The sequence below is a fragment of the Homo sapiens genome, chromosome 14 (genome assembly GCF_000001405.40).
Source record: "Homo sapiens chromosome 14, GRCh38.p14 Primary Assembly".
Lineage (NCBI taxonomy): Eukaryota > Metazoa > Chordata > Mammalia > Primates > Hominidae > Homo > Homo sapiens.
The window spans coordinates 19,102,495-19,125,353 of record NC_000014.9 but is presented as its reverse complement, the minus strand read 5'-3'; the positions used below and the strand labels follow the sequence as shown (position 1 = coordinate 19,125,353).

Below are 22,859 nucleotides of genomic sequence, written 5' to 3'. Positions count from 1 at the left end.
CTTTTACCCTAGAATAACATATCCAGTGAAAATATCATTTGACCATGAAGAGGAAATAAAGACTTTCCCAAACAAATAAAAGCTAAGGGATTTCAACAACAGCAGACCTGTCCTACAAGGAATGCTAAAGGGGGCACTCCAATCAGAAAGAAAAGGGCATTAATGAGCAATAAATGATCACCTGAAAATACAAAACTTACTGGTAATATAAGTACACAGAAAAATACAGAATATTATAAACACTGTTACTGTGGTTTGCAAACTACTCTTATCCTAGGTAGAAAGACTAAATGATGAATTAAACAACAATAATAACTACAACAACTTTTCAAGACATAGGCAGTAGAAGATATAAACAGAAACGACAAAAAGTTAAAAAGCAAGGAAATGAAGTTAAGGCAAGTTTCTACTAGTTTTCTTTTTGCTTGTTTGTTTGCTTATGCAAATAGTGTCATGTTATCAGGTTAAAATAATGAGTGATAAGATAGCATTTGCAAGGCTCATGGTAACCTCAAACCAAAAAACATACAATGGACACACAAAAAAATAAAAATCAAGAAACTAAATCACCAGAGAAAATCATCTTCACTAGAGGAAGACAAGAATGCAAGAAAGAAGACCACAAAACAACCAGAAAACCAAAAACAAAATGGCAAGAGTAGATCCTTACTTAATAATAACAGTGAATGTAAATACACTAAACTCTCCAATCAAAAGACACAGACTAAAAGGATGAAAAGACAAGACCAATTGATCTGTTGCCTAAAAGAAACACACTTCACCTATAGAGACACACAAAGACTGAAAACAAACAGATGGAAAAAAGTTATCCCATGCCAAAGAAAAACAAAAAAAAGAGCAAAAGTCACTACACTTATATCAGACAAAAGAAATTTCAAGACAAAAACTAACTATAAAAAGAGACAAAGAAGGTCACTATATAAAGATAAGGGGGTCAATTAAGCAAGATGATATAATAATTTCAATATATATTCACCCAACACTGGAGCACCCAGATATATAAAGGAAATATTACTACAGCTGAAGACAGCTATAGGCTCCATAATATCTGCAGACTTCAAAACCTCACTTTCAGCATTGGACACATCTTCCAGAAAGAAAACAAAGAAACATCAGAATTAATCTTCACGACAGACCAAATTGAGCTAATAGATATTTACAGAACATTTCATCCAGAAGCTGCAGAATACACATTATTTTCCTTAGCACATGGATCAGTTGAAAAGACAGACCATATGTTAGGTCACAAAACAAATCTTGAAACATTCCAAAAAAATGAAATAATATAAAGCATCTTCTCTGACAACAATGGAATAAAACTAGAAATACCAAGAGAAGTTTCAGAAACTATACAGAGACATGGAAATCAAACAATACGCTCCTGAATGACAAGTGGGTCAATGAAGAAATTAAGAAGGAAATTGAAAAATTTCTTGAAACAAATAATAATAGGAACACAACATACCAAAATCTAAGGGATACAAGAAAAGTTGTACTAAGAGGGATGTTTATAAGTGCCAATATCAAAAAAGAGGAAAAATATCAAATAGACAATCAAATGCTGCATCTTAAAGGACTGAAGTATCAAGAGCACACCAAATCCAAAATCAACAGAAGAAAAGAAATAATAAAGATCAGAGCAGAAATACATAAAATTGAAATAAAAAAATACAAAAGATCAAAGAAATGAAAAGTTTATTTTTTGGAAAGCTAACGAAAATTGACAAATCTTTAGCCAGACTAAGAGAGAAGATCCAAATAAAGAAAATCAGAAATAAAAAAGGAGACATTACCACTGATACTGCAAAAGTTCAAAGGATCATTATCAGCTACTGTGGGCAACTACATGCAAATTAGTTGGGAAATCTAGAAGAAATTTATGAATTGCTACAGACATAAAACTACCAAGATTGAACCAGGAAGAAATCCAAAACCTGAACAGACTAATAACAAGTTACAAGACTGAAGTTGTAATAAAAGTCTCCCAGTAAAGAAAAGTCTGGGAAATGATAGCTTCACTGTTGAATTCTAACCAAACATTTAAAGAACTAATATTAATCCCACTCAAACTATTCTGAAAAATAGAAGAGAAGGGCATCCTTCCAAATAGAGGAGGAAGGAATACTTCCAAACTCATTCTATGAGGCCAGTATTACCCTGTTACCGAAACCAGTCACAGACACAAATTTTTAAAAATATATTTATTGACTGACCAAAAAATAGAACAAATGAGGGATTCTTACCCCAATTTTGTTCGTTATAAATATTTATAATATGTCTCTAGTTCTACAGTAAGGATATAAGCTTGGTTAGTTACATGGCTTTAACAAGTTTACATCAAAAAATATCTCATAAGCCACTGGCACTCTGAAAAAGGTACTGTGATGCATTTCATTGGTTTCATTATAATAAGGTCTCTTGTAAAAATTGTCACTAAGCAAAAAATAACATAACTCTGGGCTACTAGAAAATCCTTAGTTCTTCATAAGTACAACAAACAAGCACCTAACAGTAGAATTAAATTGGACATACTGCCAGAAATTACAACAATGAATGCAAATTTGAATACTAGCTTCATAGTTCTCAGCCTCAAAAGTGAGAACCTTAAAAGGTAAAAAGACTTTGGGATGACAGTTTCAGTAACACTTGGTTGGGAAAAGATTAGTAAAAATACAAAGAATAACTTTATTCTTAGTTTTTCCTAAAAATGAATTATTAGGCAAAAATATAATGGATATCATGTCTGTAACTCATAAATTACTGACATTACACAGCATAAATATTTTTAAACAACTACATTTACATGTAAGAGTTTTTGAGATATTAGCTTGCTGGTCTAGAAGCAAAATAATTACCACTTGGGGAATAATCGTAAGGAAGAATGAGTTCATATATCAATGTGCAATGGAATCAGAGTATCCACATTTTAAAACTGAAAAAGATGTTACAAACCATCTATTTGAATTGCTCCCTTCATGGAGAGCCTAGCTAGGCTTTTATAGAGACAAATGGATACTGTTTAAGTGACTTTTAATATTTCAAAAAGTATCACGTATCATATCTCACTGGAAAACAAAGTCATATTTATTTAATAGAAATAACAGTAGAAACTGGAGAAGAAGGTAAGGTAAGAAATAATTTTAAAAATTAAATGTTGGTAATCATGGAATCCCTACACCAAGGTCAAAAACTAAGGTAACAGACAGGTAGAATATTCAAATTTCCTGACTAGTCCAGTGATCTTGCCTACCTCCACACTACTTTGAATACAGGACATAAATAATAGATTTAACAAATGTCAAATATTTACAATAGTGACCATGGAGCAATGAGATTACTGGCGACTTTCCATTTCTTCTTCACATGTATTTTTAAATGATTTGCAATGAGCACATATACTATTATAATAAAAACATACACACACATGCACACACACATTCACACACATTTAATAGTGAGTCTTCCTAAAGCAAAACCTATAATTGGACAAATCATGTTCAGAAATATGATTTTCCCATGTTTCCTTTTCCATTCACATAATCTTGGAGTATGTTTCGTCATTTATAAAACAAGGGTAATGGTTGGTTCTTACACTATGTTTCACTAATTATTGCTGGGACCACTCAAAAGATAGATGTAAAAGTAAATCTACTAACCGATTATGCAATGAGTGCCACTCATGTGGTATCTAATAAACAGTCTTCATTCACTAGAAACATAAGAGATTTTTTTTTTTTTTTTGAGACGGAGTCTCGCTCTGTCACCCAGGCTGGAGTGCAGTGGCGCGATCTCGGCTCGCTGCAGGCTCCGCTCCCCGGGGTTCACGCCATTCTCCTGCCTCAGCCTCCCGAGTAGCTGGGACTACAGGCGCCCTTAAAAGCCTAAAGGAGAACTAACATTTTATTCCTTACTACACCTATCTATTGAATGTATTTTGCAAGCCATGTGTAGTTTCAAGGTACAGGAAATGTAGCGGTAAATGAAACAAAGTCCCTGTCCTCATATAGCTTATGTTCTAATACAGGTCACAGACAATAAACTAGTAAAATGTATATAAACAATATGATTTCAGAAAATGATACTTTTTTATGGTATTTATTTTTATGAAAAAAATATAGTCTTGTAGTAATTTGTTATACAATTTTTTCCTGACTACCTTAGCACTACTTGAAGGCAGGGACTATAGCTTATAAATAAACTCTGCAGCAATAAGCTATGCTCATTGATTGATACATGGTAAATACTTGATAAATGTCTCAATTAAGGAAAGAAAGGAGGAAATAACTTAAAGGTAAAAATTCAATACATTCAATAGTTTGATACAGATTACTTACATTACAAGGCAATGTCACATATTAAAGGAAGAAAAACAAAAGGTTTTAAAGTCAGAATAAAATCATTCCTCTAAAGGACTGTTAAATTCCCTAAAACATGATTTTGGGGGAATAATAAGGTCCTCAAAACTAGCATTCAAAGTATTAAACCATCATTGTTGTGTTAAGTAAATTATTTGGCCTCTTGGAGTCTTGATTTTCTTGCCAATGAAATAGGAATGAGAGCATAGGAATGAACAGCTCTCATTATAGAAAGGGGTTGTAAGCACAAATGAGATAAATTATGATCCTTTGAAAAGTACAAAGTATTACAGAGAAAGCAATAGCATTAATTCTGGCAGCAGTCTGGAATGGAGCAGTAATTCCAGTCATCTGGAAATACAGGCAGTAGTGAGTCATGGCTATAGACTCAGAGCAGGGAACTGGTTTGGATAAAGTGTGTGACAAGTTGTGGGGGATATTAAAAGGAGCTAGGCAGGGTCAGGCATGGTGGCTCACGCCTGTAATCCCAGCAGTTTGGGAGGCCGAGGCGGGCGGATCACCTGAGGTAGGAAGTTCGAGACCAGCCTGGCCAACATGGGGAAATCCCGTCTCTACTAAAAATACAAAAATCAGCCGAGCGTGGTGGTGCATGCCTGCAATCCCCGCTACTCGGGAGGCTGAGGCAGGTGAATCGCTTGAACCCGGGAGGCAGAGGTTGCAGTGGCCACTGCACCACTCCAGCCTGGACAACAGAGCAAGACTCCGTCTCAAAAAAAAAAAACAAAAAAAACAAAAAACAAACATCGGAGCTAGGCAGGTTCCACACCCAGAGCTAGTGGTCAGGAATCAAATGGCAAGGAATCAAATCTAGTCATACAAGCCACAGTCGGGTCAAACCTGAAAAGACAGTTGCAGTGACCATGGATCCTCAAGAACAGAATAGGAAGGCAATATAAAGTTTGGTAAACAGTCAGGAATCTGGAAATGTGATGAACAAAAAGAAGGATAATGTAAATGAGAGGCCAAATTTGAGATCTTCAAAAATGCAGCAAGGCAGTTTTGTGCATCAGCTCCAGTGTATGTATAAGGATCCTTTGAAGGAAAGCATTCACTCTTGAGGAGCAGGTGCTCAGGATTACATGATTGAGGTAAGGGAATGTAGGTGGAGCCGAACCAACACTTTCTCCTCAAGAAAATTCTGGCAATAAATATCTTAGCCAGTTTTTAGAAGAATCTTTCCAGTCATTCATTTTCTAATTGGACAGCAAGATAAAGCTTCATCAAATCTCTAGACAAATTTCCCTTGGGACTTATGGCATGTTTTCATGATACCACAAAATATTTTGAAAGTAAAAAAACTCAATCGTCGATGTATGCACTCATTATTAGATCCTCAGTGTGTATGGTTTCAGCTATGAATGAAAGCATTGCCTCCTTTCTTGTTGACCTGAGTTTACTAAGTAATTGGCTAAAGTTAATTAATGAATCAATTGTACTGTAGCAACATGCATGTGAAAGCTAGGCAAAACCCTCCTGTGGATGGGAGAGAATTACTGTCTTTAGGTAACTGTTTGTTTGCTTTCTATCTCTACATTCAAAACTGACCAAGGAATGCCACTAGCTAGACATGTGTAGTGACTACCAGCGAACCTCAGGGAGGCTCACTCAGGACTGGCTACCCCCAGGATGGAGGGGTGGCATGCCAGTAAGGAACCTGGCCTTAGCAGCAAGTTGGTTTTTTTTCTGCAAGTATCTTCTATTTCTTCTCCAACCAATTTTGTTCCCCTTGGTTCTTGGGAACCATTATACTGTTAGGTTAATGGATCATTGGTTTATCCACCTGTACATTTCCTGAATTTTGGCCATTCAACCATGCATTCCTGGTGACTGGGTTTATAAGTATTAGTTTCCTGGGTCCAACACCACATTTGGATATCTCTTAACTATAAATTGGTGTAGTAACCGTGATATATCAGCATAGAGATGGCTCCATCCATTAAAAATATATTGGTATTGGTGGTATCAAAAAATTGTATATTTGTTACTGGCATATAAAACAAATGAATGGCCAGATACAAAATTGTACAGAACCCAGATTAGTAGCTAATAAAGAATTAATAAAGAATATGTATTAATGTAGATATATTCATTTACATATTAATTGTTTTTTTCAAATTGGCCAAATTTTTTAAAACAATTACATATTAAAAACTGAGATATACGGAAATTCTAACTAATAGGTTTATAGTCATTCCTAGGGTAGGCATTAACACTTCTTGGTAAGTTCTGTAAGTTAATTATAGTTTAACTTCCTAATTAATTAATTCTGTAAGTCAATTTATAGTTTACCTTCCCAGAGGCTTTGGTGTCTTTTTTTACCCTCACTTTAAAATACACACAATAGTATATAATATATCACATTTGGTCAACAGTTCAAATTTTTTTATTCTTTAAAGCATGTACAAAAAATATACTAGTTAGAATTCCTGTGAAAAATTCTAATACAGAGGAATTATATGGCTATGTTTGGAAAGATAATATTTCTTTAAAAATGTGTTTTCTTTATGTTTTATGTTTGCAATAAGGATTATTTAAGTTTGATTGAAGAACTTCATGATTCTTGTGTATTATTTTCTTGTATTGAGAAATAGTGGCCCACTGTTGGGCTGTATTTAAAATTAATGTGTATGAAACAAGAAATATTTAATTAGAGTTATTAATTTTCCACAAGTAATATGTGTACTTGACCTAAATCAGTATCTTTTATCATATCAGCCTCACATACAACAAGAATAATAGCAAGGACAACAACAACAAATTTGAATGTTTCCTTTGTGCCTATGCTCCTAACTATCATGTTATACTCATTCATATAAACCTAACAATTAATTTGAAGTTAGACACACAGGATTTACTCATCAGTATTAGAGCATTCGCTGTTATCCAGGAAGAAAACTATCCCTGGTGCTGAAACTGCTCTGTGTAGTCCTTGCGGTTGAAGAATTAAAAGTCTCTTTTAGACATCTCCTTTCATTGAAATTATGAATTGGATAAGTGTTCATACCTTAAAGGAAGTATTAAATTTCACATATGTTAACATCTTAATTAATATAAGATTAATATTCTACTTATGACTATGTTTTAATATTGAAAAATGAGTTTATGATGAGTTTCATTAGTTTCTAGAGAAAACAGTGGTTTAAAAAATTTCAGTCATAAGACATTGAAGAGTCTATGACTGTTCCAGAAATCTGAAAACATATACCACTAATCAAAAGTTTCTCCATTCATGTTGACTAGCATTTGCCTTAGGTGTCAGAATTAATGGATTTGTGTTAAAAATAAACACCTGAAATCTAATTCCCTAACTACATTATAACACACTTGATTTCAAGTTCTTAGCTTTTATTTAATGCTTCTAATGACTTTAAATTGTAGCAAAATGGGCTTCCCCCAAGAGCACTGCTTTGTTGATCCTGAGTTGGGGTCCTAAGCCAGAAGTTAACTATGCTTTCATATATTCTTGCAAGTAGAAGTACAGTGTTGGTGTAAATTCCCCTTAGATGGATAGCTAAGCCCAGAGGAAATAATGGTAATTGGAACCATATGACCGTATGCAATTCATGTGCATATTTATATCAAGAAAAGAACATTATAGGTCGGGTGAGACCCTATTTTGTTCTGACAATGTCATCTGTATTTACATGTCTGTTTCGGGAGTTTGGATGTCAAGGGATTCTGTGCTGGATTGTAAAGCATGTGCTTCTGCTTGATGTAGCTACTCAATTTTGTATTCCTGACTAATAAAGTCATAAACATAATTCAACCTCTGTGTGCGTGCTCTCCTTCCATTAATTTATACTTTAGCAAAAAGTATTGAATGTGTGTGTTATGTAACAATTTCCTATAAATTATATTAAATGATTTATTAGCTTTATTCAATAAAGTTTTAAGTGTTTTCTTCTATGACTACATTACTTGTTAACAAGAAATTTCTTTAACTGAAAACTTCAAGGAAGATTATCTGGGTAACTCTTTCAAAAAGAATTGTACCTGTATTTTGGAATTGAATATATTAATTTCTTGTACTGTTTTAACAGCACATAATTTTACAAGACAAGCCACTTTTTCAAAGCCTGCTTCTCCTCCCATTTTCCCTATCTCTGTGATTGACACCTCCAACCCCTGTAGCCTGCCTCTGCTCTCTCTTAACCAGTCCTACTGATACTACTTCCTAAGTATTTTTCAGCCCTGTCCTTCCTCTCCATCATGATGGATTCACTTCCAGTTGAAATCCTTATGGTACCCTCCCTGGATTATGGCAGTAATCAGAGAGCTGGTCTCCTTAACTCAGGATTCACTTCTTCTCATCTGTTGTTCACAGTGACATCAGAAAGATATTTTAAAATAATGAACTAGAATTAATTATATAAAACACACATACACACATAAATAATACTTAAATTTTTCAATGATGTTCCAATTATGTAAAATATAATATAGGAGGCACTTTATGTTCTGGCCTCAATCTTTCAATTCAAACTTATCTCCTGCCACTATCTCCTTTGAACATTGTATTCCAGCTACTTTAGAATAATAATAATATATAATATTCATAGAGCCCTTCCTGGGTTCCTATCACCGTACAAAATACTTCACATATAACATTTAATCTTTGACAACTTTATTAGGCATGCACAATTATTATCTATCTATATATCTATATCTATATATATAAAATCTATATTTTATAGATAAGAAAATAGAGGGTAAAAACTTGCCAAAATTACAAAGCTTAGAAGTGTAGCAGTTGGGATTTGAATCTAGGCATCCTGCTTCTATAGTCTACAGTGGCTTTCTTGTGCCAAAAGCCTTGCAGTTCCCTAGACTTAACATTTCTCAAAATCTGTGTCTTTCACATGCTCTTCCAATTGTCTGGAAAATCTTTCCCAACCTCAGTCTAACTGTGGTACTCATGTTCACCCCACAAGAATTGACTCCATCTGTCCCCTCTCCATGAAAATTTCTTTGAATCTCAGCACTTTGGGAGGCTGAGGCAGGTGGATCGCCTGAGCTCAGGAGTTCGAGATTGCCCTGGGCAACATGGTGAAACCCCGTCTTTACTAAAATACAAAAAACTCACGAGGTATGGTGGCACACGCCTGTAATTCCAGCTGCTCTGGAGGCTGAGGCAGGAGACTTACTTGAGCCTGGGAGGCAGAGGTTGCAGTGAGCCAAGATTGCACCACTGCACTCCACCTTGGGCTACAGAGTGAGACTCCGTCAAAGAAAAAAAAAAGAAAGAAAGAAGAAAGAAAGGAAGGAAGGGAGGAAGGAAAGAAGGAAGGAAGGAAGGAAGAAAAAGAAAGAAAGAAAGAAAGAAAGAAAGAAAGAAAGAAAGAAAGAAAGAAAGAAAGAAAGAAAGAAAAGAAAGAAAGAAAGTAAGTTTCCCTGGTAAGGGCTCATGCCTTGGCACTGAGGGCATCTTGCAAAACTCAAGGATGCCACTTGGCATAGCAGATAGAAAATAATTGTGATATGAGACAGGCCTGAATTGGATTTATGGCTCTATTTCATATTGGTTTTGTGATTTTGGGAAAGTCATTTAATCTCTCCGAATTTTAGTTTCTTTAGGGATTAATAGTACCTTTTCCAGGGAGCTGTTATTAGGATGAGACAATGACCAGAACATAGCAAGAATTCATTAGTGCTCTCACCACCCTTCCCCCATTGCAGCCGTCAGTACCTGAATGGCAATCGTGCATCTTCTCATCGGCCTGGAATTGCTTCCCCTTTCATCTTTGGCTCTGCAGTATTCAGTGTCACTAGTGAAATGTGTGAAATGAATGAATCGACAACTGATGCTTAATACCTAATGAGACAAGTGAATGAATCCTTTTGTTCATTTTATGGCCAGAAAGATAGTGTAATTAAGTAATAACAACTGGCAAAAAAGAGAAACTCAACCTATACTTTGTCCTTTTCTCAAGTAGCATCTAAAACTTTTCCCTTCTGATTAAAAAATTATCACTGAAGGATCTCTTTGAATGTGTCTTGAATTTTATATAAGCAGATGATCACAGCTCAGCATAATATTAGAAGATTATACGATTTTAAAAATTGGTTCATAGTTTTATAGTCTTGGAATATCTATCTATCTGTCTGTCTGTCTGTCTGTCTATCTATCTAGGTATCTATCTATCTATCTACCTACCTACTTACCTACCAATCTGTCATCTTCAAATATATTTAGGCTGCTTTCCTGAGGCTAATTTTTTATTCCATTCTTTCATCTTTTTCAAGATCCTGGTATTCCCTGGTGTATTGGGTCTAGGTATTTATGATTAGGAGAAGAAATGATTCAGTGGCAGCTCCCCAGGATTTTGAATTATGAGATATGAAACTAGAAATGGCAACTTAGGTGGATTGTTTGAGAACACTGTGTATTACTGCTTCTGTATCAACTTCTATTCTCCCTTGTTCATACTTTTTTAATACGCATTTCAAGCACTATATATTGGTGAACATTTGAACCCGAATCATATAACAATAGAAGATGCCATAGTTGGAAAGGCATAAAAGGTCATTCTAAATGTGTGAACAAATTAGAGAACTACAAAATTAGAGATCATCATAGCTATATTGCAGAGAGACTTCATTGCTTTTCACAGAAATTAAGCCATAGATAACAATGACAGGTTGAAATAGGTCATGATTTCTAAAAATAATGTCATGTAAATTACCTATCTAAATACATTAAAATATGAATTATTGGAAAAAATGAATAGCAGGTCCTCAGAATAGCCCTACACATAAGTATCTAATAAAAGCATGAGTTCAAGAGCAGAATGTTAATGAAGCTCCCTGCCTTGGTTTCTTTAATAAGATTTTCTATTCCGCTTTCTGGAACTATTATGTTCCCATTATAAACTTTGTACCAAGTTAAAAGTAGGGCCCCTTTTGCCCCTTTTTTCTGTCTTCCTGGCTCTCTAGTCCTAGGAAGTTAAAAAGAGTCAGAAAATCCCATCTTTTCTTCTATGAAGTTTGGGAGAAAAGTCAAGATAGGCTATAAAGTGTTGCACGTGATAATCCAAGCATCCTTCTACTGATAGTAGAGTCTCATTATCCTTCCTCAGATATATGCAGTGATGAAAATAGATAATGAGAAAGCATGCATCCAAGTAACTCTTTGAGTGTATAAGGGCTGATTAAGTTGAAAGAAGATTGCCAGGCGAGGTGGCTCACGCCTGTAATCCCAGCACTTTGGGAGACTGAGGCAGGCAGATCACTTGAGGTCAGGATTTCGAGACCAGCCTCGCCAACATGGTGAAACCCCATCTCTACTAAAAATACAAAAAAATATTCGGGCGTGGTAGCGCATGCCTGTGATCCAGGTACTCGGGAGACTGAGGCAGGAGAATCACTTGAACCCAGGAGGCAGAGGTTGCAATGAGCTGAGATGATGCCACTGCACTCCAACCTGGGCAGAAGAGTGAAACTCCATTCAAAAAAATTGCAAAGTATCTACTAATCTAAAAAATGCACAGCCTCAGTTCTCAAAGAGTTTATGTTGTAGGATCACGTCAGTTCCATATATAATTTGTTTATCACAACTGCACACTGTTACTGAATCTGAAATGCTTCAAAATCTGAAAGTTTTGAGCACTTACATGATGCTCAAAGGAAATGTTCATTGGAGCATTTCAGATTTCAGATTTTCAAATTAAGGATACTCAACTGGTAAGTATAATGCAAATATTCCAAAATCTGAAAAATATCCAAAATCCAAAATACTTCTGGTCCCACGCATTTTCGATAAGGGATACTCAACAAGTATTTTAAAAGATCAAAATAAGGGTAAGAGAATATGGATATTTAAGCTTATGGATACTTACATGGAACAGTTGAGGCCATTAAAAAATGTCTAAGACATAGGCAGTGGAAGGCTGAATTCAAGAAAAAGTCTCAGAGCTGAGGAAACAAAGAACCTATGAGGTTAAGGTGTTAAATGAGCCAACCACATGAGTGTGAAAGGGAGGCCAAATGAGAAAATGATGCTGCTTGGGTGTAGAGGAAGTTCTGGAATAAATGTGGCAGTTGTTAGAAGACATTATAGTTAGAAGACATTATAGTTAGATGGATAGACAGTAAAGAAGGGGCTTTTGTATTAAAATAGAGGAATAGTGGTTGGGAATAGAAAATATGGAGCTAAAATTATGCCAACCCACTTCTATTAAATAAATTCTATGACACCTTAGCCTTTGGGAAAATGACTAGCCTTCAGTGGAGCACATGTCAAGGGAAGCATTGTCCCCATATAGATAGCTGAATTTTAATTAAAGCAAAGAAATGGAGTCAATGTCCTCTAATGAGGTTTCCAGAAGTCACATTGAAAATATTTGGGAGGGAGGGAAGATTGATTCAGAAGTAAAACACAGAGCAGTATGGAGATATGACACTGGAGAGCATAAATGAGTCGAGTTTTCAAAAAAATAGAACAAAATTTTTTGAAGTCAGTTGCCTATTAGCTTCCCTCACAGTTCTTAGGGAGATATAACTGAAGGCCTCCAGAGAATTTGTGTCTGTCCATAAGGTACAGAATAAATTTATTTCAAAGATCTCCTCCTCCCAGAGTTGATTATTTGACTTAGGGCAAAAGACTGAATGTAAATAGTAGCGAAACTGTCTCTGATATTATTGTAAGGAATAAAATAATTTTGCTTTGTAAATAAAATAGAATATTTTCTAGAGAGAACTGACCCAAACTCAATTTTAGGACTGGTCCTGAAATTCAGAAATGCCTTTCCCATATTGCCTAACTGTGCCTTTTTCACTGGAAGAAAAGTGCTGCCTTCAGGGAGCACGCCTCCCCAGAGATCAGTAAAATCAATGAGAAATGCAATGTCCATTTGTCAGTAAAGACATCTGAAGTTTGATGGGTTTCTTGGGACTGGATAACTAGTTAAAGATTCTAAAGAAAAATTAAGTGGGGCATAGAAACCAAAAATCTCAAGAGATCTTTGAAGAAGGAAACATGAAAAATGAGGACAAATTTAGAGAAATGTTGCTGGCATAGATGTTAACTTCCAGAAGAAGATGGAAATAGACTACCATGCAAAACAAAAAGACAGAAGAGAATATTAGCACTCTGTTGCAAAGGAGAATAGGTATGCTCTACTGGTAAGTATAATGCAAATATTCCAATATCTGAAAAAAATCCCAAATCCAAAATACTTCTGGTTCCCTGCATTTTGGACAAGGGATACTCAACAGGTATTTTAAAAGATCAAAATACAGATCACAGAATATGAATACTGAAGAATATGAGCAAACGAGAATAAGAAAAAATGTTGGAGGACTTTTAAAAATGTATAAAGGAATTAATGAATGCAATTAGTATTATTTTTTAAATCAGTCATTAATAGCCACTCGCCATGATTGCCAACCCCTTTGATGAGTACTAATTTCACAATTATTAAGGAAAGGCAAATATTTAGACTCATACAGGTTAAAAGAAAATATTTTCCAAATTTCAAATTTAAGCTTATAAATGTTCTAATCTACTTTTGAATGTGTATTCGTGACCCAAGATTGGTTTTTTCCGGGCCCCATCATTCTAATGACTTTTTTTTTTTTTTTTGAGACAGAGTCTCTCTCTGTTGCCCAGGCTGGAGTGCAGTGGTGTTATCTCGACTCACTGCAACCTCCACATCCCAAGTTCAAGCAATTCTCCTGCCTCAGCCTCCCGAGTAGCTGGGACTACAGGTACATGCCACCATGTTCGGCTAATTTTTTTTTCTTTTTTTTTTTTTTTTAGTAGAGACAGGGTTTCACCATGTTAGCCAGGATGGTCTCGATCTCCTGACCTCATGATCTTCCTGCTTTGGCCTCCCAAAGTGCTGCGATTACAGGTGTGAGCCACTGCACCCAGCCCAGAGTTTTTTTTAACAAGGTTCTTCTCAGCAATTCTAGTATCCAGATATAGGCCCATCATAGACATCACACAAGCGTGTACTTCATAATCCTGGTGAATACAGAAGTTTCCTGGACTCCTTGATGAGCTACTGCTTTCGCTCCTATATCAGTGTTTTCAGCTGATGTCATTTGTGATTGTGTTTCTGACTTTCTGTAGGCAGAAAAAAACTTTCATTTTTTTTGCTTACATGCACATAAATGTAAGCGCTAATTCTTATATTAAACTGTTTATTTCTATAATACTTAATTGGCTGTTTTCCTGGCTGAACCAAACCAAGAGCATAAGGAATGATAACCTTCAAAACTGATTAAATTAGAGATCAATAAATGGAGCTGTTTTAATTCTATTATTCTTCTTTCATAGATTAAATAGAAAATTTTTGTAGATAGTTTTTCTTCACTGTCTCTTTGGTTACCATGAGGTACTGCTTGTAGTGAAAAGGTAGAATAAATACGTGATCCTTTCCCTTTATTTACCATTTTCTATTTATCAGTTACTCTTTTATTTGCCAGTTTTCTAAGTAGCAATATGGTTTCCTAAAATCCTAGAAAGTACTTGAAGAAATTAAAAATGGATTGACTTTTTAAAAATTAATTTTGGGAATTATTCTCCTGACTCTTCTCAGTCTGATGAAATTTTTCTGTAAGATGTTGTATTTTTAAGTACTAGAATTTTTTTTAAAGTTTTTATCTCTGCTGAGGCTTCACATCTGTTTGCTCAATTTTATTTTTATTTCAATCCTTGAGCATGTTTATAATATAGTAGTATCCCCTTATTGTGGCTTTACTTTCCTCACTTTCAGTCACCCACAGTCAAAAAATATGAAATATAAAACTCCAGAAGTAAACAGTTTATAAATTTTAAGTCACACCTTGTTCTGAGGAATGTGATGCAACCTCCCGCCATTCTGCTGTATCCAGTTCAGGATGTGACATACCCCTTTGCTCAGCAGATACACAATTCCTGCTTCCTGCTCATTAGACACTTGCAGCTGTCTAAGTTATCAGATGGACCTATCTCAGTATCGCAGTGTTTGTGTTCAAGTAACCCTTATTTTACTTAGTAATGGTCTCAATATGCAATAGTATTGATGCTGGCAATTCAGATATGCAAAAGAGAAACCTGAAAGTGCTTTCAGTAACTGAAAAGCAGAAAGTTTTGCACTTAATGAGGAAAAAGATATGCTGAGATTGCCAACATCTAGGGTAAGAACTATTCCTTTATTGGTACAATTGTGGAAAAGGAAAAATAAATTCTTGCTAGTTTCGCTTTTGTACCTCAAACTTCAAAAGTCACAGACACAGTGTGTAGTAAGTGCTAATGTAGGGTTCGGTATTATCCATGGTTTAAGACATCCACTGGAGGCCTTCCAAAGTATGCCCCACAGATAAAGAGGGAATACTTTAGTCTTTTTATGCTAATTCCAATATCTGGATAATGTATTTATTCTATTGACTGCATGCTTTAACATCATTATAAGCTCAATGATTTAAACATATAAGGTGTGCACCTGCTCATTGCTGTCATCATCATCATCATTATTTTGGTTTGTTTGTTTTTGAGACAGATCTTGCTTTATGGCCCATGCTGGAGTGCAGTGGCATAATCACAGCTCACCGCATCCTCAGACTCCTGGGCTTAGGTGACCCTGCCACCTCAGCCTCTCAAGTAGCTGGGACTACAGACACAAGCTACCATGCCTGGCTAATTTTTTGTTTTCTATTTTTGGTAGACAGAAGGTTTTACTATGTTGGCCAGGCTTGTCTTGAACACCTGGGCTAAAGCAATCCACCTGCCTTGGCTTCCCAAAGTGTCGGGCTTACAGGTGTGAACCACCATGCCTGGCTTGTGGTCATCAATATTATTGATGCTTATATTAGTTCATGTTTGGAGAGTGGGACTTCCTTCAAGTTGCCTCTTGGATCCTATGGACACGATCCTAGGGGGTATAAAAGTGTCCTTGCATTCCAGTATGACGAGATGCTCTAGATTGATTTTGCACATTGCCTGCCTGCAGCCAGAAAGCAGCCATTTCTCCGAGACGCTTTGGTTCCTTTTAGTGAATGATGACATGGAGAATCCAAAGTTATGGCACCAAGGTGCTTTCTGCTTCTGTTTTATTTAATGCTTCCAGGACTTTTCAGTGGATAAGTCTAAAAGATAAGTGTATTTTTTTAATAAAAATTTATAACTTTTAAACAAACCTTTTGGTTAACAGTCTTGATTAGAGGATTTTAATTATGCTCAGAGATATTACATCTGTATCTTCTTCTATTTCATTAGAAAAGTACCAGTTTTCAATGTCACACCCATAATGAGATGGAGTCTAGCTCTGTCACCCTGGCTGGAGCGCAGTGGTGTGATCTAGGCTCACTGCAACCTCCACTTCCGGAGTTCAAGCAGTTCCCTACCTCAGCCTCCAGAGTAGCTGGGATTACAGGCAAACTCCACCACACCTGGCTAATTTTTGTATTTTTAGTAGAGACGTGGTTTCACCATGTTGGCCAGGCTGGTCTTGAACCACTGACCTCGTGATCCACCCACCTCGGTCCCCCAAAGTTCTGGGATTACAGGCATAAGCCACCGCGCCCGGCGCTTTTTTTTTTTTTTTTTTTTTTGAGACGGAGTCTCGCTCTGTTGCCCAGGCTGGAGTGCAGTGGTGCAATCATTCTCCTGCCTCAGCCTACCGAGCAGCTGGGACTATAGGCACGTGCCACCATGCCTGGCTAATTTTTTGTATTTTTAGTGGAGACAAGGTTTCACCGTGTTAGCCAGGTAGGTCTTGATCTCCTGACTTCGTGATCCACCCGCCTCAGCCTCCCAAAGTGCTGGGATTATAAGCGTGAGCCACTGTGCCCAACCGATTTTTTTGTATTTTTAGTAAAGATGGGGGTTTCATCATCTTGGCTAGGCTGGTCTTGAACTCCTGATCTCGTGATCCACTCACCTCGGCCTCCCAAAGTGCTGGGATTACAAGCATGAGCCACCGTGCCCAGCCCCATAACTACTCTCTTTTTTTTTTCTTTTTCTTTTTTTTTTTTTTTTTGAGACGGAGTCTCACTCTGTCAGCAGGCTGGAGTGCAATGGCACCACCTCGGCTCACTGCAACCTCCACCTCTGGAGTTTAAGCAATTCTCCTGCCTCAGCCCCCTAAGTAGCTGGGACTACAGGCACATGCCACCACGCCCAGCTAATTTTTGTATTTTTAGTAGAGAGGGGGTTTCACCATGTTGGCCAGGATGGTCTCAACCTCTTCACCTGGTGATCTGCCCATCTCAGCCTCCCAAAGTGCTGGGAACTAATCATTTTTTTAAAATCCTGCAATATAAGACAAACCAATAGCCTAAGACTAAAAATACAGCCTTCTGAAAAATAATAAGCAATCTGAGATTATTTTTGTGCATTATTTTGTTCTTAGGCTATATTTCATCATGAATATACAGTCATATTATTGCTTTTTAAAGTCAGTGTAATTCTGATTGACAGATGACATAAATATATTGATTAGAAAATAAAATATGATTTTCCAACCATTCCTAGACAGTGTTCTAACATGACTAACTTTAATTGCCAGAAGTAAAAGCTTTTATTTTACATGATTACACTTCATTGTACTAGAATATATCACAATCTCTATTTCCTTGAGACAAACAGTTTCCCTAATATGGTATTATAAAACTGTTTAAACATATAAAAATGTTGTGGGAAGTGCATATTTATAGTCCAACCACTTAGATTGTACATCATTTTGTTATATTTGCTTTACTACATATCTCTCACTCTATCCACCATTCTATCCAATTATCAACTCACCGTTTCTTATTTATGTCAAAGTATATATTTTTCTTACATACTTAACATATGTAGCATTATTGTTCAGTATTTGTGTACAGCTCATTTTTTTTAAGTTACTAAGGTTTTTTATTAACACCTCAGAGTAGAGGTTATGAAAGGACCCTGAATTGTTCTAGGAATTTTCTTCAGTGAGCATTTGTGAAGACTCGGGGATCAAGGTTGGGTTAAACTTTGTGATGGGTCCATTGGCAGTCTAGTCACAAGCACCTCCTCGATCCTTAGGTCCCAGCGGAAAATGATGCCAGACTCTTAAACTGCCACAAGGTAGCCTGGAAAGAACTCTACAGTCCAGAAAGAGCCTGGAAAGTGGTTTTGTGAGATGAAATTTACTCCTGGTGAAAATGCTGTGAATATTGTTTAGCCTACAACAAAGGATTTAGAATATTGATAAACATAGTACAACAGTGGCAGGGTGTGAGAGGACTGACTCCAATTTTGAAAGAAGTTCTACTATGGGTAAAATGCTTATCAAACAGTATCGCATGGTACACTGAAATCTTTTGTGGAAGGAAGAGTCAGTTAATGTGGCAAATTTCATTGTTTTCTTTTAAGAAATTGTGACAACCACTTCAATATTCAGCAACCATCGCCCTTATCAGGCAGCAGCCAACAACATCAAGGCAAGACCCTTCACCAGCAAAAAGACTAAGACTCCCTGAAGGCGCAGGTGATCATTAGCATTTTCAGCAATAAAAGATTTTTCTATTTTTTCTTTGTTTTAAATAATTGAGCTTCAAGTAAGGGCAGCAAGTAGTTTTTCTTCTTTTTCTTTCTGTTTTTCTTTTTTCTTTTCTTTTTTTAAAGACGTGTTTTGCCATGTTGTCCAGGCTGGTCTTGAACTCCTGAATTCAAGTAATCAACCTGTCTTGGCCTCCCAAAGTGATGGGATTACAGGCATGAGCCACCGAACCCAGCCAGCATCAAGAGTTTTAAAATTAAGGACATAACGCCATTTCACACTTTAAATAGACTATAGTGTAGTGTAAACATAGCTTCTTTTTTTAAATAGAGACAGGATCTCCCTATATGCCCAGGTTGATCTCACAATTCCTGGGCTCAAGTGACCCTCCCGCCTCCGTCTCCTAAAGTACTGGGATTATAGGCATGAGCCATCACACCCAGCCAATATAACTTCATATTCACAAGGAAACAAAACAATTTGTGTGACTCACTTTGTAGCAATATCTGCTTTATTGTGGTGGTCTCGAATCAAATCTACAATATCTTTGAGGTATGGCTGTACTTTCTAAGCATTTCCTGAGTCAGCCTACTTTTTCTCCATTTTTATTGTCACTATTCTATCTATTTTTTGTTTTGTTTTGTTTTGTTTTCTTGTTGTTGTTTGGAAACAGGAACTTGCTGTGTCACCCAGGCTGGAGTGCAGTAGCACGATCATAGCTCACAGCAGCCTCGATCTCCTATGTTGAAACCATCCTCCTGCCTCAGGCTCCTGAGTAGCTGAGACTACGGGTGCATGCTACCACACCTGGCTCATTTTTAAAAAGATGTTTTTAGAGATGGGGTCGCATGATGTTGCCCAGGCTGATCTGGAACTCCTGGCCTCAAACAATTATTCCACCTCAGCCTCCTGAGTAGCTAGGGTCGATCCATTGTTGAAGAGTACATGGATGTTATTTTGCAGACTGTCAACCTGAATTTGTATTTGCTTGACATTGCCTAATTATTAGTTTCAGTTTCAGCTTACCCACTTTTTGTCTGCAACATGCAGAAGAGACAGTGCCCTTTTTAGTGTATCATATCAGGAATCATCTCACATTGGTTTGTGCCATTACTGGTGCAGTGACTTTCAGCCACTTGGGTAAGGTGGAGTTGGCCATATGTCTCCACTGCAAAATTACTGATTTTCCTTTTGTAATTAATAAGTGTGTGTGTGAAGATTCTTTGAGATGAGGTATATATCTCACTCTTCATCAAACTATAAGTTTTTTAAGTAAAAGAAAATTTATTATGAAACTAAAGGAATAAAAGAATGACCACTCCATAGGCAGAGAAACGTCACTTTAAGGTTTTGACGTCAATTGATTTTTGTCCAAATCAATAATTACTGCAATGATTGAAAAATGATTATTACTAAGTTTGTTTTCATTGTCTCAAGGTCTGCTGAACTCTGGATCCAGGCTGTGTCAACAGGGTAGTGTGGTGCCTCCTGTACCTGTCTTGGCCTCCTACAGTCCTTTTTACTTATTTTGTTTTTTAGAATAGAGACAGGGTCTTACTATGTTGCTCAGACTGGTTTCAAACTCCTAGGCTCAAGCAATCTTCCAGCCTCAGCCTCCTAAAGTGCTGGGATTACAGGCATGAGCCACCACACCCGGCCAAGTTCTTTACCATCTTCAGAAGGCTTAGCTTGCACTTTTGGAAGAAGAATAGACTCCCAGGAAGACTGTGAGAGAGATTTGGGGCCCAAATTGATATTATCAAATACACTGAACTTGATTGTATTCACCATGTTCTGGCTCTTGAGAAATGAGAGTGCTAGTGAGGCTGGTGCCACTTTGTGTATCTTCTGTACCTTGAAGTCCCTCAGAAACCTTGCCCCTGGTCTTCTCTGGTCTTCTCATTCTAAGGACATAACAGGTTCTCTTTTTCTCTGGAGATGAAATCTAGATCTTCGATTTTGGAACCAAATTTGGACTCTTGACTCTGAAGCACCAATTTCTTCAGCAAGTTGTTCTCTGGAATCAATCCCAGGGTATGGGTTTTTCATAAATGCATGGATGACTGTGTGTAATTGAAAGGTGCTATAGGTGGTACAACACCATCTGGCTTCTCTATTTTGAAACTCCACACCAGGTTAATCTTGTCCATGGCTGTGGCTTAAATCTAAAGTCAGGTTCTGGTGTTTTCTGGAATCCATGCCTAGCTCTTTGATTCTGAAACCAAATCTGGATTCTGGACTCTTCTGCATTGATTGCTAAAGCAAGTTTTTGTTTGGTAGCATAACCTGGGTAAGGTTTTTGAGTGAAGGTATTGATGAGGATTTTCAATTGATCTTCTGTGAATTTGGTGCAATTGCACCTATGATTTGTTGCTACCATCTTGTGTGAAGAGGGGTCTTCAACTATGCAGAAAGAGAGTTCTGGAGGCTGAGCTACTGTCTGGGAGACTGCTTACAGCTCATTTTTTAAAAAGAAAGGTCACATATAATACAATATAAAATTCACAAATCTAAAGCTTATGGTTTTCTGGGTTTTGACAAATGAAAACTCCTGTGCAACTTCAAGCCTTACCAGGATATGGATGAGGGTTTCTACCCAAAAGCACCAGTATTCTAACAAACAACTTTACGTTTTTTGAATTGTCCAGTGCCTGTGAGGATTCCTTACTCCAAGTTTATGACAAACATATTCAGAAGGCATAGTCTACAATTAGTGTTTGGGTAAGTATTTTCATCAATTGTCTGATTATTTGCTGTGAATTTGAAGTATGCTGATTCTTATGTAATTGTCTTCTGAGAAACATTGTGCCATTTTTCTTGTGGAAACCACCTGTAGAATAAACAGAAATTATGAACGCACAGAGTTGGTTGTGATGGGCACGTCTACCTGTGGCTGCCATTTAAGTGGAAGGTGGAATCCGACTCTGGAGCATCGGCAGCCTGAGCTGCTGCTGGGCTCACACTGACCCTGGGAGTGCTCTATGCATGCTTCACCTTATGAGGGGTGCAGAAGGAACAAAAGTAGAAAAGTGTGCTCTACTTTCACGTGTTACCAAAGGACAGAGGACACCACCAAGGATTTAGAAAACTGTTAAGTGAGGATTTATTCTTCTTAATAGCCTTTCAAGCAAGGAATTTGAAAACAAGATTCTACTCATCCCACACCAAAATGTAAACAGATATATTATTTTCTATACTCCCAGGATAATTTTGGTTTTACTTAAGCATCACTATTGCCCTCAAATGTCAAGTGGAAAAATAAATGTGAATAATCCCACCACTAGCCTCCAGACTTGATGTTTATGCTATTTCATTTTTAAAATGACCTTTTAAAAGTTATAAATTAGAAACGTGGAAGTAGAATGGCTTCATGCAAGAAATACTGGAATAAGATCCCTGTTCTGGCCCCAGAGTCTTAGACAAGTCATTCAGCCTTTCTAAGCATCAGTTCTCCCTTCGGGAAAACATGGGCATTCATCTCTACGGGAGCTGCTAGCTCTAACTGTCAGTGAGTTTCTGAAACTTGCCCAGGAAGGAGCAGCCCCAGTGTGAGTGCATGCCACCCCTGTGCTTGCCTTTTGCCTGCTTCTTATCCTTGAGGTAGCCTGCAGGCTCCTCCTCATTCATCTCCTAAGCCAGTGCTATCTGACGGCACAGAATATGTTTCCAATTCTGGTCTCATCTGAAATACATTTTTCCTGGAAGAAAGATTACATCTATGACCTGCAAAGCATTATGCTCCTCTCTGTATTCCGGATCTTGTGTTATTTTTTTAATATGGGAAAATTTATGATTTTTTTTTTTCCTGAGATGGAGTTTTGCTCTTGTCACCCTGCTAGAGTCCAATGGCATGATCTTGGCTCACTGCAACCTCTGCCTCCTGGGTTCAAGCGATTCTCCTGCCTCAGCCTCCCGAGTGGCTGGGATTACAAGTGCCTGCCACCACACCTGGCAAATTTTTGTATTTTTAGTAGAGATGAGGTTTCACCATTTTGGCCGGGCTCATCTTTAA

The 22,859-nt window shown here is 37.0% G+C and overlaps 1 pseudogene across 1 annotated transcript in view; it reads right to left on the bottom strand.

The window, feature by feature from the left end:
- Positions 1–17,856: 17,856 nt before the first annotated feature.
- DUXAP9 (double homeobox A pseudogene 9) overlaps positions 17,857–22,859 on the bottom strand; it is a 45,121-nt pseudogene continuing 40,118 nt past the window's right edge. The window contains exon 4 of the transcript NR_122111.1: positions 17,857–21,677. The product of NR_122111.1 is annotated as a double homeobox A pseudogene 9, transcript variant 1 (transcript). The remainder of the gene's footprint in view (positions 21,678–22,859) is intronic.